Source organism: Homo sapiens, chromosome 10 (assembly GCF_000001405.40).
Source record: "Homo sapiens chromosome 10, GRCh38.p14 Primary Assembly".
In the NCBI taxonomy this organism is placed as follows: Eukaryota; Metazoa; Chordata; class Mammalia; order Primates; family Hominidae; genus Homo; species Homo sapiens.
In genome coordinates, this window is record NC_000010.11 from 50,726,239 (window position 1) to 50,739,935 (window position 13,697).

Here is a 13,697-nt window from a genome sequence, read left to right on the forward strand (position 1 = left end):
ACAAAACTTCCTCATTCACAATCACATATAGTTAGTTGCTTTTCCCTCAGTTACATAATAGTTGTCTTCAAACAATCTCCTTTTAGAAAACTATCACATTAGTTAAACCTATTTATTCTTACTATGAAGTTATTAATTTCATTTATATAGGCCACAGAGGTTTAATTGGCACACTTTACTTAAAAATAAGACAAAATAAATCACTCTTCTTTAAAAAAATTATGGTCATCTGTTTTCAAAGAATAATCCCAGATACTTAATTCATTAAAGCAAATTTTCTACCATCAGCAGTGAGCTTTTTAAATGATTACTAAGTGTTCACCTGAGGATTATCAATGCTATATGAAGGTAAATTTGTTTTGAAGATTTGTGTCCATTTTATAACAAGATACAATTTGCACTGAAGAGTTTTTAAAAAGATAACCTACACACATACAGTTAATTTGCCTCAAACAACTTCTTAGAAATACAGTATAAACATTTAAGAACCATGACAAAGTTGTGGTTCAAACTTCAACACAGATTTTCTTGAAACCCAGTACAAAGATTACTGGCTCAAGACCATATCCCAAAGTGACCTCAGCAGGAGATTTGATTGTAAGACTCTACCTTTTAAAAAAAGAGCACACTTGGTTATACATGGCTTTTAAACTTGAGCTACAGTTATGCTACAAATCCCCCCACCCTCCCAATCTAAAATCAGTTATGTGGAGATATGTACATTCTCTGAGCATTGTTTGAGAGTCCTTGGTTTTCCAACTTTGATGGAGATCTAGAAGGCATTCAGAAGTCCGTGTGCTTACATTCAGAGTAGGATGAACTTTACAAATTCTACTTTCCTCTGTTAGTGACAGGCCACAGATCCCAAAGTATGCATGCAAAGCACCTGGATGACTGGCCACTTGGCAAATCCCCCTACGAGGCGATCTTGAGTTGATAAGATGGAATTTCTATTTTTCTCAAAGTTAGTGTATTGGAAAATTTTTAGAAGCTTTAGAGTTGCTCCCACCCAAAAAGAATAACGGGTGTCTACAGGCTTATTAGGTCTTCCATGATAACTATTTTGTTGCCCCATTATACACCACCTCTTTATCGTGTTCAATTCTTTTTCTGAAAAAACTTCTAGTTTACCCATCAGACATAGTGAGGCAATGCCACAAAAAGTAGATCCTCCATGAGATTCAAGTCCAGCTCCCTGTGCCAGTCCATTGTCATAGGACATACTTCTTTTAATATAGGAGATGGCTTTTTTCATATCCATGCCTGACTGGTTATTGAGCATATAGCAAATACAGGAAGCACAGTACAAAAATCGCATATCATTTTCACTGCCTTCAGGTACTGCACAAAAACTCCCATCTTCCAGCTGAAGGGCTCTCAAGCCTGCTAAGCAAGCTTCTTTATTTACTCGGCTTAAGTCGTCTCCAAGAATAACTAAGCATGAAAGGCCAGTGTAGGTCATTGCAATGTGGCCACTATCATAAGGATGAGCTGTTCCAGGAGCCTTTGATGGATTGAAAGGAATACCCAGGTATGAAGAGCCTCGGAAACCACAGCGATTTAGATTTCATCTGCCTTCTGTGGGAAGGACCTGCTTGTCTCGAGTGAAGAATAGCGCTCCGGCAAATCCTCAAGGCAGCGCTGGAAAAATCGCACGTGCAGATCCCGCAAGAAATCCAGCCGCTCTCCCTCACCGCTCCCTGCTAGCCTCTCATCCTCAGTGGCTTCCATGCTGCTCCGGAAGCGACGTCCGCCTCGACCTAGATGATGTTATTAAGAGATGGAGTGAGTTTAGATAGAGAAAAAACGTACACCTGAGTACTGAAACCTTTTTACCCCAAGGTTTAGAGATTAGACAGGATGAAGTACCTGCAAAGGAGATTAAGAAGCTAGGTAGAAGGAAAACCTGGAGAGCGTTGTCAACTGAAAATACAATGAGGATATTTTTGTCAATAAGGAGAGAGTCATCAACTGTATGAAATGCTGTTGCTACTTGGGAGGATGAGGTGGAAGGACCATTTGAATCCAGGAGGTTGAAGCTGCAGTGAGCCACTGCCCTCCAGCCTGAGTGACAGAGCAAGATCTTGTCTCCAAAAAGAAAAAAAAAAAAGTTGCTGATAATTCAAGCAACATGAGTATGGAAAATTGACCATTGGATTTAGTGATTTGGTCATTGACAGTGTGGTTTCAGGAATGTGGTAGCGATAAGACACTCATTAGATAGGGTTCAAGTGTGAATAAGAGCAGAGAAATATAAAAAAGAGTAGATTTGGGAGGCCGAGGCGGGCAGGTCGTGAGGTCAGGAGATCGAGACCATCCTGGCTAACACTGTGAAACCCCGTCTCTACTAAAAATACAAAAAATTAGCCGGGCGAGGTGGCGGGCACCTGTAGTCCCAGCTACTCCGGAGGCTGAGGCGGGAGAATGGCGTGAACCCGAGAGGCGGAGCTTGCAGTGAGCCGAGACCGCGCCATTGCACTCCAGCCTGGGCGACAGAGCCAGACTCCGTCTCAAAAAAAAAAAAAAAAAAAGTATGAGAACTTTAAAAAGTGTTATAAATAGGGCCAGGCGCTGTGGCTTATGCATGTAATCCCAGAACTTTGGGAGACTGAGGCTGGTGGATCACTAGGTCAGGAGTTCAAGACCAACCTGGCCAAGATGGTGAAACCCTGTCTCTACTAAAAATACAAAAAAATTAGCCGGGTGTGATGGTGGGCGCCTGTAATCCCAGCTACCCAGCTACTCAGGAGGCTGAGGCAGAAAAATGCTTGAACCCGGGAGGCAGAGGTTGCAGTGAGCCGAGATCACGCCACTGCACTCCAGCCTGGGCAACAGAGCAAGACTCCGTCTCAAAAAAAAAAAAAAGTTATAAATGAGTTGTAATAGTTGCTGTAAATTCTATGAGGTTCCACAGCATGAAACATATGAGACAGTATGCTAATAAGCATGATAGAGTAAAGGGGGTACATTTTATAATCCTGAGGAAGGAACACTTGTGGGAGTAAGACACTTGAACAGATTAAAGTGAAGTTAATTCTAGAGTCATCAGGAATAATATCACATAACAATAATAAAACACCAAAAAGTCCTCTATTACTTCTTTCCAATTTTTTGTCAACTGTAAATTTAAGAGAAAATATTGATTGATCCTATCCCGAATTTGAGTAGTTTGTTTTTCTTAATAAAATATGATTTATAATTTTTCCAGAAGACAAACTACTTTCTTTAACTTCTGACCCACTCTGTTTGTAGTGTATAAAAAGCTGTATCACTATGTGATACATTTAGAGAAAGGAACTCCTTTTTTTTTTCTTGATTAGTAATTTTTTTCTTGTATCAATTGCATTCACCTGGGGAATATAAATTTATATTTAACTCTTATGCCTGATAAGATGCTGACATTAGTAATGATATATAAATTAACTAGTAGTAAGTTTTAAATGGTAATTAAGACGATATAATTTAAAAGCAGAAGTATCAAGTCAAAAACAAATTCAATTTAGTATACTCTTAAACTCTTTAATGTAAAAGTGTAAAACTTTTCACAAAATGCAATGCTGTGAAAATAAAGCTTTTTTCAACTTTATTTCACTAGTTTATCTCTTTCTTTCTCTGTTTTCATCATTTCTCCCCTGCAGTTGTTTTATGCCACTCTATTTCTCTTTCATGAATTCTATTTTCCACAATTTTTCTGGCAATAGAAATTTAAACATCTTACTCATTTTTATTGTCCTATTTTAATTGTTGCTGTATTTTTTTCTTATTCCAGATATATTGCATGATTAAATTTCTCAACTAGAAGATATACAACTATAGACTATATTTCACACAAAGACACTGCACATCCTATTATGGAGGAAAAGTGATGATTCTTGGTGTTACCATTTAGACAACAGAGCACAGAGTATTTAGGGAAAGTTATGAATCCTAACATTAAAGAGCGGAATGTTCTTGCCATGTGAAGCATGAAAAGTAATGTGAACATAATCTTCTCTTCTTGTCTATGAAATTGTGTTTCCAATGGCAAAGCTTTCTCAATATCATTACCCTCTGGGGGTTATGCCATGTCCTAAAGTAAAGAGTCTGTACTTTGAAGTCAGCATGGCTTTGGATGACTTTCTTAATAGATCTGAACTTCCAATTTCTCATCAATAAATTATTGTCTTTCTCATTGGTTTTAACAGTGATTATACAGGCTGATATATATAAAGTACTTTGCATAAAGAATGGCACATTGTAGAAGGTCATTAGGTATTTTTTTCACTGTAATACAGGTAATAATTTTGATGTTTTAAAATGTGTTTACTCATTCAATAAATCTATTGAGTGCTTACTGTGTCCAAACAAAATTCTGAGTACCAGGGTGAGAGTAGTTTAAAAAATAAAAGACAGAAGTTTTTGCTGTCCTGCAGCTAATATTCTAGTTTTTATCTTGACATCATTTTGAATTTTCCTTTCTATTCTATTTGTGATTGCTCTCTCTAAACTTTTTTCATCTTTTCAGATCTTTTGCACTAAACAGGTTGAGAATTATAGTGCATGTAAGTTATTCCATTTTCCCATTAAATGTGAGCATTTAAGATTTTGATACATACTATTTTTTGGTAAAAATGTATTTAGCTCAACAGAGTAAAATAAGTATGGCTATAGCAATTATTTGCCATATAAGGTATAATGGCAGCATAAAAATTTTCATGCATGTGGTCTATGTGAAATTTTGTCTAAGAGAGTTGAAATCAGTATAGATTCTTAAAGCAGTGGAGAAAAACAGATTTCTATTTATTTTCTCCCCATCTTGTGGGTAGATAATTTCTTTTAAAGTATCAACCTCAAACAAACATATGACATAGGTTTTTGCCTGTTGGATCTTTTTATAATTTGAGTTTATGCTTATTTTCTCATTCATAGTGAGGATACAGAAATATTTTTATAATATGCCTAAATAAAAAGATTTGCCTCTAACTTTTTTTTCTAATGAAAAATAAGCAAGACTTACAAAAAAAATCTTCTTACCAGGCTCTTTGTGGGCAAAGGTTGCTTCTCATCTCATTTATTTTGCCTTACGCATTGCCCTTTCTCACTTGAATTGCTTGCATGGAACTATTCATTGTCTTCACTTCTCTGACATATACTCAGAAGGCATCTTCATTTGGGACCATTTTAAATTGATCCTGCATGCTTACGTCTTACTCAAAGCATATTTTTTCCTTGGTCTATCCTTTTTTTTTTTTTTTTTTTTTTTCGAGATGGAGTCTCACTCTGTCCCTCAGGCTGGAGTGCAGTGGCGCGATCTCGGCTCACTGCAAGCTCCGCCTCCCGGGTTCACGCCATTCTCCTGCCTCAGCCTCCCGAGTAGCTGGGACTACAGGCGCCCACCACCACGCCTGGCTAATTTTTTGTATGTTTTAGTACAGCTGGGGTTTCACCATGTTAGCCAGGGTGGTCTCGATCTCCTGACCTTGTGATCTGCCCGCCTCGGCCTCCCAAAGTGCTGAGATTACAAGAGTGGGCCACTGCGCCCAGCCTTTGCCTGGTCTATCCTATCGACACATGTTCCAACAGATGAGGTCATGAGGTTTACCCTAAGCTACATGACCTGCTCAGCTTAATAGTTCTCTAATAGTCATCACTGAAATTGCGCGTAAACTGGGTTGTCACAAAGAGGTATTTTATGCAGCAATCAAAATTTGGTAATACATCATTTACTTAGTTTTGAGCATTCTTGGACTTAAAATCTTTATTTTTTATTTTTTTACTCCAGGCTACACTTTCTGCCCTAAACACAATGAGTCTGGCACACCTTTGCATAACAGTGGCTCATAGGGGTCACATTTCTCTAGGTTTTGTAGTAGATTCTGAAGGGAAATAGATGAAAAAAGCATGCCAGTGAATTTAATATACTGACAGGCTCATGTCTTCTCTTACTATTTACTGTGTTCTTGTAGTTTGAATTAGCAAATCTTAAAATTTCTGTATCTGATATGGCAAGCTCATTCAGGGAACCAATTTTTGATCAGTTTGTGCCTGGAATAAAGCTAGACATGAGAGATAACAAAGTTTAAGATGCTTAGAGACCGCTGAAAAAAATATGTATTGATTTTTCTTTGCCTTACTTTCTACTCCAGTTTGCTTTCATCATTACATGTTGAGCCCAGGACAAGAAAACCTTGGTAAAATTTCTTTTTCTTCTTCAGGATGATAAAAAAATCTCTTTTTACTTTTAAAAGTTAGATCTAATACATTATATTTGCATGTTAATAGGCTGTCATAAGTTTCCCTAGGAAATTTGCAGATTTCTCATGAAACTTAGAAAAAGGCTAACTATTCTGTACTAATAATTTTTTTCGTGTTCTATTTGTTAATCTATTCATGTATTTACTTTTTATGGATATGCAAGAGTTGTACATATTTATATAGTACAACTCTCATGTATCTATAACAAGTAAATGTGATATTTTGATACATGCATACCATGTGTAAAAATCAAATCACCATATTTAGGTTATCCATCACCACAAAGGTTTATTATTTATTTGTTTTGGGAACATTTCAAATATTCACCTTCAGCTATTTTGACATATACGATAAATTAGTAACTAGTCACCTTACAGTGCTATTGAACTCTCGAACTTATTTCTTCTACCTAATTGTATGTTTGGTCCCATTAACCAAATAAACTCCGCACAGTTCCATGATTACTCTCCAGAGCTATTTTCTCCAGTTAGCAATATAAGTACATGCAGTTGAGAAAGGGTATTTTCACGGTGGTATTAGATTCTACCCTTATTGAAATTTGAAACTTCCTAACATCTGTATTCTTAGTGTCTCATGGAATCTGAGCTACAAATTGTGAAATGTATTCTGGCTTTGTACACATATATGACATCTCACTGTTTACCACCTGTTGTAGTGCACCAATATTGTAAAGGTTTGCTGGCAAAGCCCTGCGTTTCTTTTTCTCTGGTATTACCCTTTGTGTTTATCTGTAGCAACCACCTGGCACTCTCCTGCTTTCACAAAAAAACACGGTGGGTCCATCCTCAAAATGAGCCTCCCTATTACCCAGAAGACAGATGAAATAGTGTCTTCTCACAGATGGTCTGTGATGTATACCTTAGCTGAATATCTAATCATGAAAAGTAGTCGGGGATTAACTACAATTTGCCAGAATCAACTTAACTTGTGCCACAAACTTATGCTTTAAAAGCAAAAAAGTATAAAAAGATTATTTCAAGATGACAAAAACTTTGGCAACTATACTTTACATAAAATATGTGTTTCACAATTGTATTTCACTTTATTGCCTCATGTCTAAATAGTTCAAATGTGTGAATGCAATTAGGAAATATTTCTTTCATTATAAAAACAGTGTTTTTATGATTGCACTTTAAAAAAGGCTAGTTAAAATGTTTAAGCATTTCATAAATGTTCAATTTAAAATCAACAGTTTAATCCTTTAGAATGACGAGGTTACAATGCTTAAGCATTTCATAAGTGTTTACTCTAAAAGGAATGTTTTAACCATTTAAGAAGGTTTAACAAAAAATATTTTGGGGTTTTAAAATACTTTTTCAAACAAGGCAAACATAAAGTTATAGCTAAAATCTCAACAGTATGGTGTTTGATTTGAGAGATTGAAGGTATTTGTTTCATTTGGTTTTACTGAATGATTCATCAGCTATGCCGTGAAACTTAGAAATATCAACTCTTGGGCTCATAAGAACACTTTATTATCTTCATTGTCACTAGTTATTACTTGAGATATTGCAATCTAACTTTTTCTTCAAAAGACTGTGTTTTTCTAAACATATTCAACCCAGCCTAGACCAAATTCATGCATTATTTTTATAAAGTACAATATGTTCTGCTAATATCTCCAGAAAATTTTTTCTTGAAGTTGATTTATATGTAAATACTTTTACAACATGAATTTCACCCTAATTGACTTCTTATAAGGCAAGAAAATGCATAAATTTTTCTTAACTTTTACTAGCATCTATTCCCCGGAATACTCCAATCACTTATGAATAATATTTCAGTTCTGTATTAAAAATTTCTCTGTGAAGCTTGCTCTTGGATTATAGACATAGGTTGGTTTGACTGACCAGAATGCTTCCTTCATTATTTTGATAAAATAATGGTAGTTTTCCTTGGAGAATTACCCCTTACTTCTTTTGTTTTGTTTTGTTTTGTTTTGTTTTGTTTTTGAGACACAGTCTCACTATGTCACTCAGGCTGGAGTGCAGTGGCACGATCTCGGCTCACTGCAATCCCCACCTCCCAGGTTCAAGCTATTCTCCTGTCTCAGCCTCCTGAGTAGCTTGGATTACAGATGTGTGCCAGCACGCTTGGCTAATTTTTGTATTTGGGGTAGAGACGGAGTTTCACCCATGTTGGCCAGGCGGGTCTCAAAATCCTGATCTCAAGTGATCCACCTGTCTCGGCCCCTGAAAGTGCTGGAATTACAGGCATAAGCCACTGCGCCCAGCCACTTCCCTGTTCTTAATCCATTGGTTTCAAAACCTGACAGCCTAGCTTCAGAGTTGAGCATATTACCTAGATCATTCTGTTTCTTGACAACTATGACTAATTAATATGTCATAAACATGACCCAAACTATACAAAATTAGTATCAGTTTTAAAATTTTGACTGGAAATGCCTGAAATAAATTATTTTTGGGGGGCAAGGTTCAGGCAGAAAGGCAAGGACTGTAGAATTTTAGAGCTTGTTGTGGTCATATTTATCAACATTAGATGTGAGATTTTGTTATTCAGAATGCTTTGATGTATCAAAACCTCAAAATGCTGCAAATGAGAAATCAAAACATTCATGGATTGAATATATACCTTGATTTTGTATCTCCAGTTTACTAAAAAAGCAGTCTGGCCAGTCCAGGAAATATGTCATTTCTCACTATTCCCGGCACATCAAGTTTTTCCTCACATTAAGGTAATGTTTCAGCATGTGCTTATTTTGTTTTTGAATATAATGGTGCACGGCTGTTTGGGCTATCAGAATTTTTTAAGCCATTAATTTTATCTCAGGTCTTTTTTGCATTCCACACCTTCCTGCATACTAACTAGGTGTGTAAATTTCTCTTAAAATCACATTTCCTTACCAGTCCAAATCAATTCATTCTTCCTTATCACATATATTCCTCTTCTATTACCTCAGAAATAAGTTAATAAAATACTTTACTGTTATCATTTATTTCTGATTGTAAAGTAATGATACAATAGATTTAGATCCTCATTTTAGCCATCATTTAATCATGATCATGTACCACTGAACTTAAAAGTTGGAAAAAAAGCAATCTAAATTTCATCTGAGCTCCAATCTCATGTAATTTATAAAATTTTGGAAGAACACAGGTAGGTACTCAGAGTAATCAACTTAGCTTTGGGAGAAGAATTTAATGTTTTATTATCTGCCACAACCATAGCCTGGTGAATTGATTTAAATCATTGAGCTATAACTGCTTTTTGAAGATTTTTTATTTTTCCCCTTCTTGTGAATTAGTAATTAACAAAATGTAAAAATCCAAATTCAATATATAATTTCATGTTATAAAATAAAGGTTACCCATGAAATACAGTTAATGGTCAAATAAATTCTTTGTTAAGATTGGGGACCTTTGCAATTTGTGAGAAACAGTCACACACACACACAAAGTCTGTAAACAAAGATAAAATGTTTTTGCTGAATAATGTAATTGTCATTTGCTGCTCCCTTATTGAAAGAAAGGTGTCTGTTTACCTGGATTGTTGCTTAAATCTGCCACAAATTTGCTACTCAAAACCTTATTTATTATATTATAGCAAATAGGGTAATAATTACTGTCAGAGAAGGGGACATACTTTTTGTAACTCTTTACATTTTTCTTAAAATACAAATTGGTATACAAATTTTGATTTTGAATCTTTCAATTATGTTTTCACTACGTCCCATATATCCTCTAAGTTTTGTCTTTTTCAACTTCAGTATACAGATTTCAGCAATACTGTAATTTTTTACTGAGTACTTAACATATATGAGAAAAAGATACTTTACAATTTCCACATGCTGTAATGAAATATGTTGAGCTTAGTTTATGTTAACTGCATCTAGTTCTTGCTTGATTTCTTCTTTTTTCCTCTAAAGTTATATTTTATCTTGCAAGTTGTGTATGTATGTGTATTAGTTATGTGTTTGTTTAACAAATTATCCAAAATCTTAGTGGATAAAGCAGCAAACATTTATTATCTCACAGTTTCCATGAGTCAGAAATTCAGATAATGCTTAGCTGCATTCTCTTTGCCTGAATATCTCACAAGGCTAAAATCAAGGTGTCAATTGGGCTATCGTTATTCCAAGGTTCAATCAGTGATGAGTCCACTTTCATAGTGACTCAAGTAGCTGTTGGTGGGACTCAGTTCCTCCATGGTTATTCTTAATTGGTGGTTGGCAAGAGGCCTACTTCACTGTTTTACCACATGGATGTTACCCATAAAGCATCTCACAACATGGAAGCAGCTTCAACAGGGCTAATAAATAAGAAGGCAAAAAAGAATGTGCAAGAAAAAAGTCAAAGGCTTTTGTCATCTAGACTTGGAAGTGATTAAGCTCAAGTGTGATTAATCTCAAGCCAACTATCAAGCTGAAAGGACAGGATATGAATATTAAGAAAAGGGGATCACTGAAAGCCATTTAGGAAACTGCCTACAAATTATGTGGATATGGATGTTTTACGAAAATAAAATTCCTTGTCTTAGAGTGGTTTCTTTTTACTTTTTTTCTACATCTAATATTTTAGAACCCAAAACATGGGGATAAAGACAAATTTTAGCATCTTATCCTTAATATTTAGGAGCACAGCATACGTCATGTTGAGGATGCTACTATGCCTTTACATTATGTTGGAAAGTATATATTCATCTCTGGCTCTCTTTTTTTCTCTCAAGTGATGGTGATTTATAATGTCTAGAATAAAGTATACTTAGAAGCCAAATTAAAACTGTATTTTATCATATTCGTATAAGCTTACTAAAGTATTACTAAATACTCCTGTTTGCATCTTAATCATCTCCAAACTTTTTTCTCCTACTATGGCATCTTTTCATATCTGCATGAACCAAATGTGGCTTTTGAAATAGGAAATTTTGGATGGAATAATAATCCACTATGAAGGAGTCATATAGTTAATGTAAGGAGAAGGGCTGACTTACAAGATGAGACCTAAATATATTTTTAAATTCTTAAACACTACTATACTTTCTCCTTAATGTACCCACAACATATGTCTCAGATTTCAATAGTCCTTGGAGACACATTTTCCTCAAATACCTGAATAAAAAGACAAACCTACAATCTTGCTTTATTATATATAAGAACTTAATAATTTACCAAGTATTCAAAGATATCCAGGAACATTTATCTTCTTCAAAATATTTCCTGATTTTAACTTGCTATTCCATTTCTCATCTGGATCCAGATCAGAACCTTTACCTACTTTTCTGCAGGTTACTCACTTCTGGCTTTCTTCGTGCTTGTGTGGCTCTTTTTTAAACACTTCACACTGAGTTGTGGACACCTATCCCTTCTTTTTTCAAAAGGTCTTTTTTCCCTTCTTTTTTCAGGAGGCAAGGAAGGGGGAGGCAGTAGGAAGGACTGAACAGAGAGGAAGAAGTGCGAAATACTCATTTGGAACAATGGGAGATTGAATAGACCGGAAAAAGAATGATTAAAGTGAGGACTGCTGGCATGGTCCTGTTTTCTTCCAGCCATGTTTAGTTGCATCGTTGTGGCATGGAATAGATGGAGAGCTGAGTTTATCCAGGGCTCCCATCTTACTAAGCAGATAGGAGGTGACAGGGAGGTGGGTGAGTTGAGGAGGTGTGCAAGGGACCAATGAGAATGGTTGGCCATGGAGTTTAAGCTCGCTCACTAGAGAGGGAAAAGTCATAAAGGAAGGAAGAAACAGTGAAAAGGTAGTAAGATCTGGATTGGAGGTACTGGTAAGGTTGCAAGAATTTTGTTTCAGGGCAGTATAGGGAGTAACCTGGATAGCTAGGAGGTGGTGGTCAGAGTGGGCTACTGTGGGGTTTGCAGTCCTTGGACCTGACAAGGTCTAAGGTCTGATCATGGAGGGAGGGGGAAGCTGAGGTAGGGCAGAGGACAGGAGTGGGCTTCATGAGATCAAAAGGATGTTGGAAGGATTATCTACCCGGATACTGACATCTCCATGAAGTAAGAGGCATAGTGTGAAGAAGTTACAACATCCTAAGCTCTTCACAGATAAGGGAAGCATGCACCACGTGGGTAGCCTCTCTTGTTTAGCACCCAGTATATAGCCTATGCAGAGTGAATACCTGGGGGCTGCTGGGGGCGAAAACAAGGTCACTGTGACAGGACCTGAAGCCTGGGGGTCTCGGTGACAGGAGTGGGCCTAGTTTTTTGGTGTAGAATTGAGCCTTGAGTGCACTGGTGGGATCTTATTGAAAGGAACCCCTCCAAGACTAGAAGAAGATGCATCCTCTGACAATGTAGGCTCTGTAGGCGTCCCAAGTACCTGGGCTGTGGGTTAGATGGACTCCAAGGCATTTCCTCAGGTGGCAATGGGCCGATCCCTGGGAAGGCAAAGCTGTGCAGGAAGAAAATGGCAAGATGCTACCTTCCCTCAGGGAAAGCCCCTTTCCCGGGAGCAGGGAAGGCGAGGCAGTTTAGGCTGGGTCAGTTTGTCCCTGCCATCAGAGTCTGTTGGTCCTGGAAAAAGAGGGCCTTATTTTATTTATTTATTTTTCTTTGAGACAGTGTCTTGCTCTGTCGCCCAGGCTGGAGTGCAGTGGCTCGATCTCAGCTCACTGCAACCTCCGCCTCCAAGGCTCAAGCGATCGTTCCGCCTCAGCCTCCAGAGTAGCTGGGACCACAGGGACCACAGGCGCCCGCCACGACGCTGGCATTGATTGATTGATTGATTGATTGAGAGAGAGGTAGCCTCCCTGTGTTGCCCAGGCTGGTCTTGAACTGCTGGGCTCAAGCAATCCTCCTGCCTTGGACTCCCAAAATACTGGGATTACAGGCGTGAGCCACCGTGCCTGGCTAATTTTCTTCCTTTCTTTTTTTTCCTGCGAGACGGTGGGCGGGGGTATCTCCCTAAGTTGCCCAGGCTGGTCTTGAACTCCTGGGCTCAAGCGATCCTCCCGCCTCAGCCTCCCAAAGGGCTGGGATTACAGGCATGAGCCACCGCTTCCTGCCAAAAGAGGGCTTTAGGGCACCCCCAGAACCTGAGATCTCCCTCATCTGTCATCTTTAAAGAGAAGGAAGTCGACTCCCAGTCGAGCCATAGTCCATTTGTCCCGGGCACGGTGACTCCGGGGTGGCCAGGACCAAATGTGTCTCCTTCTGGCTTTTGCACCGCACCAACTAATCCGCGGCAGGCCGCACAGCTGCCCTGGCCTTCGCGGAGGACTAAGGCGAGGGCGGTGTACGCTGCTCCGGAGTCCCACCGCGGGAGTTGAGGCAGCGGATTCCGAGGGCAGGGTGGGGCGGAATCGGGAGGGATGCGGACCCGGTGGAACGCACTGCGCAGACGGCGCCGGCGCCCGCACACAGCTGTTGACTAGTCTTCCAGCTCTCCCCTGGAAGTCGTCCAGGCGCCGGTCTCTTTTTTCTGCCTTTTTGTTTCCCTCCCCGCGAGTCGGCGCGACGGTGAATTTCC

The 13,697-nt window shown here is 38.3% G+C and overlaps 1 pseudogene; it reads right to left on the reverse strand.

Moving 5' to 3' along the window:
- Positions 1-406: 406 nt before the first annotated feature.
- PGGT1BP1 (protein geranylgeranyltransferase type I subunit beta pseudogene 1) lies at positions 407-1,755 on the reverse strand (annotated as a pseudogene).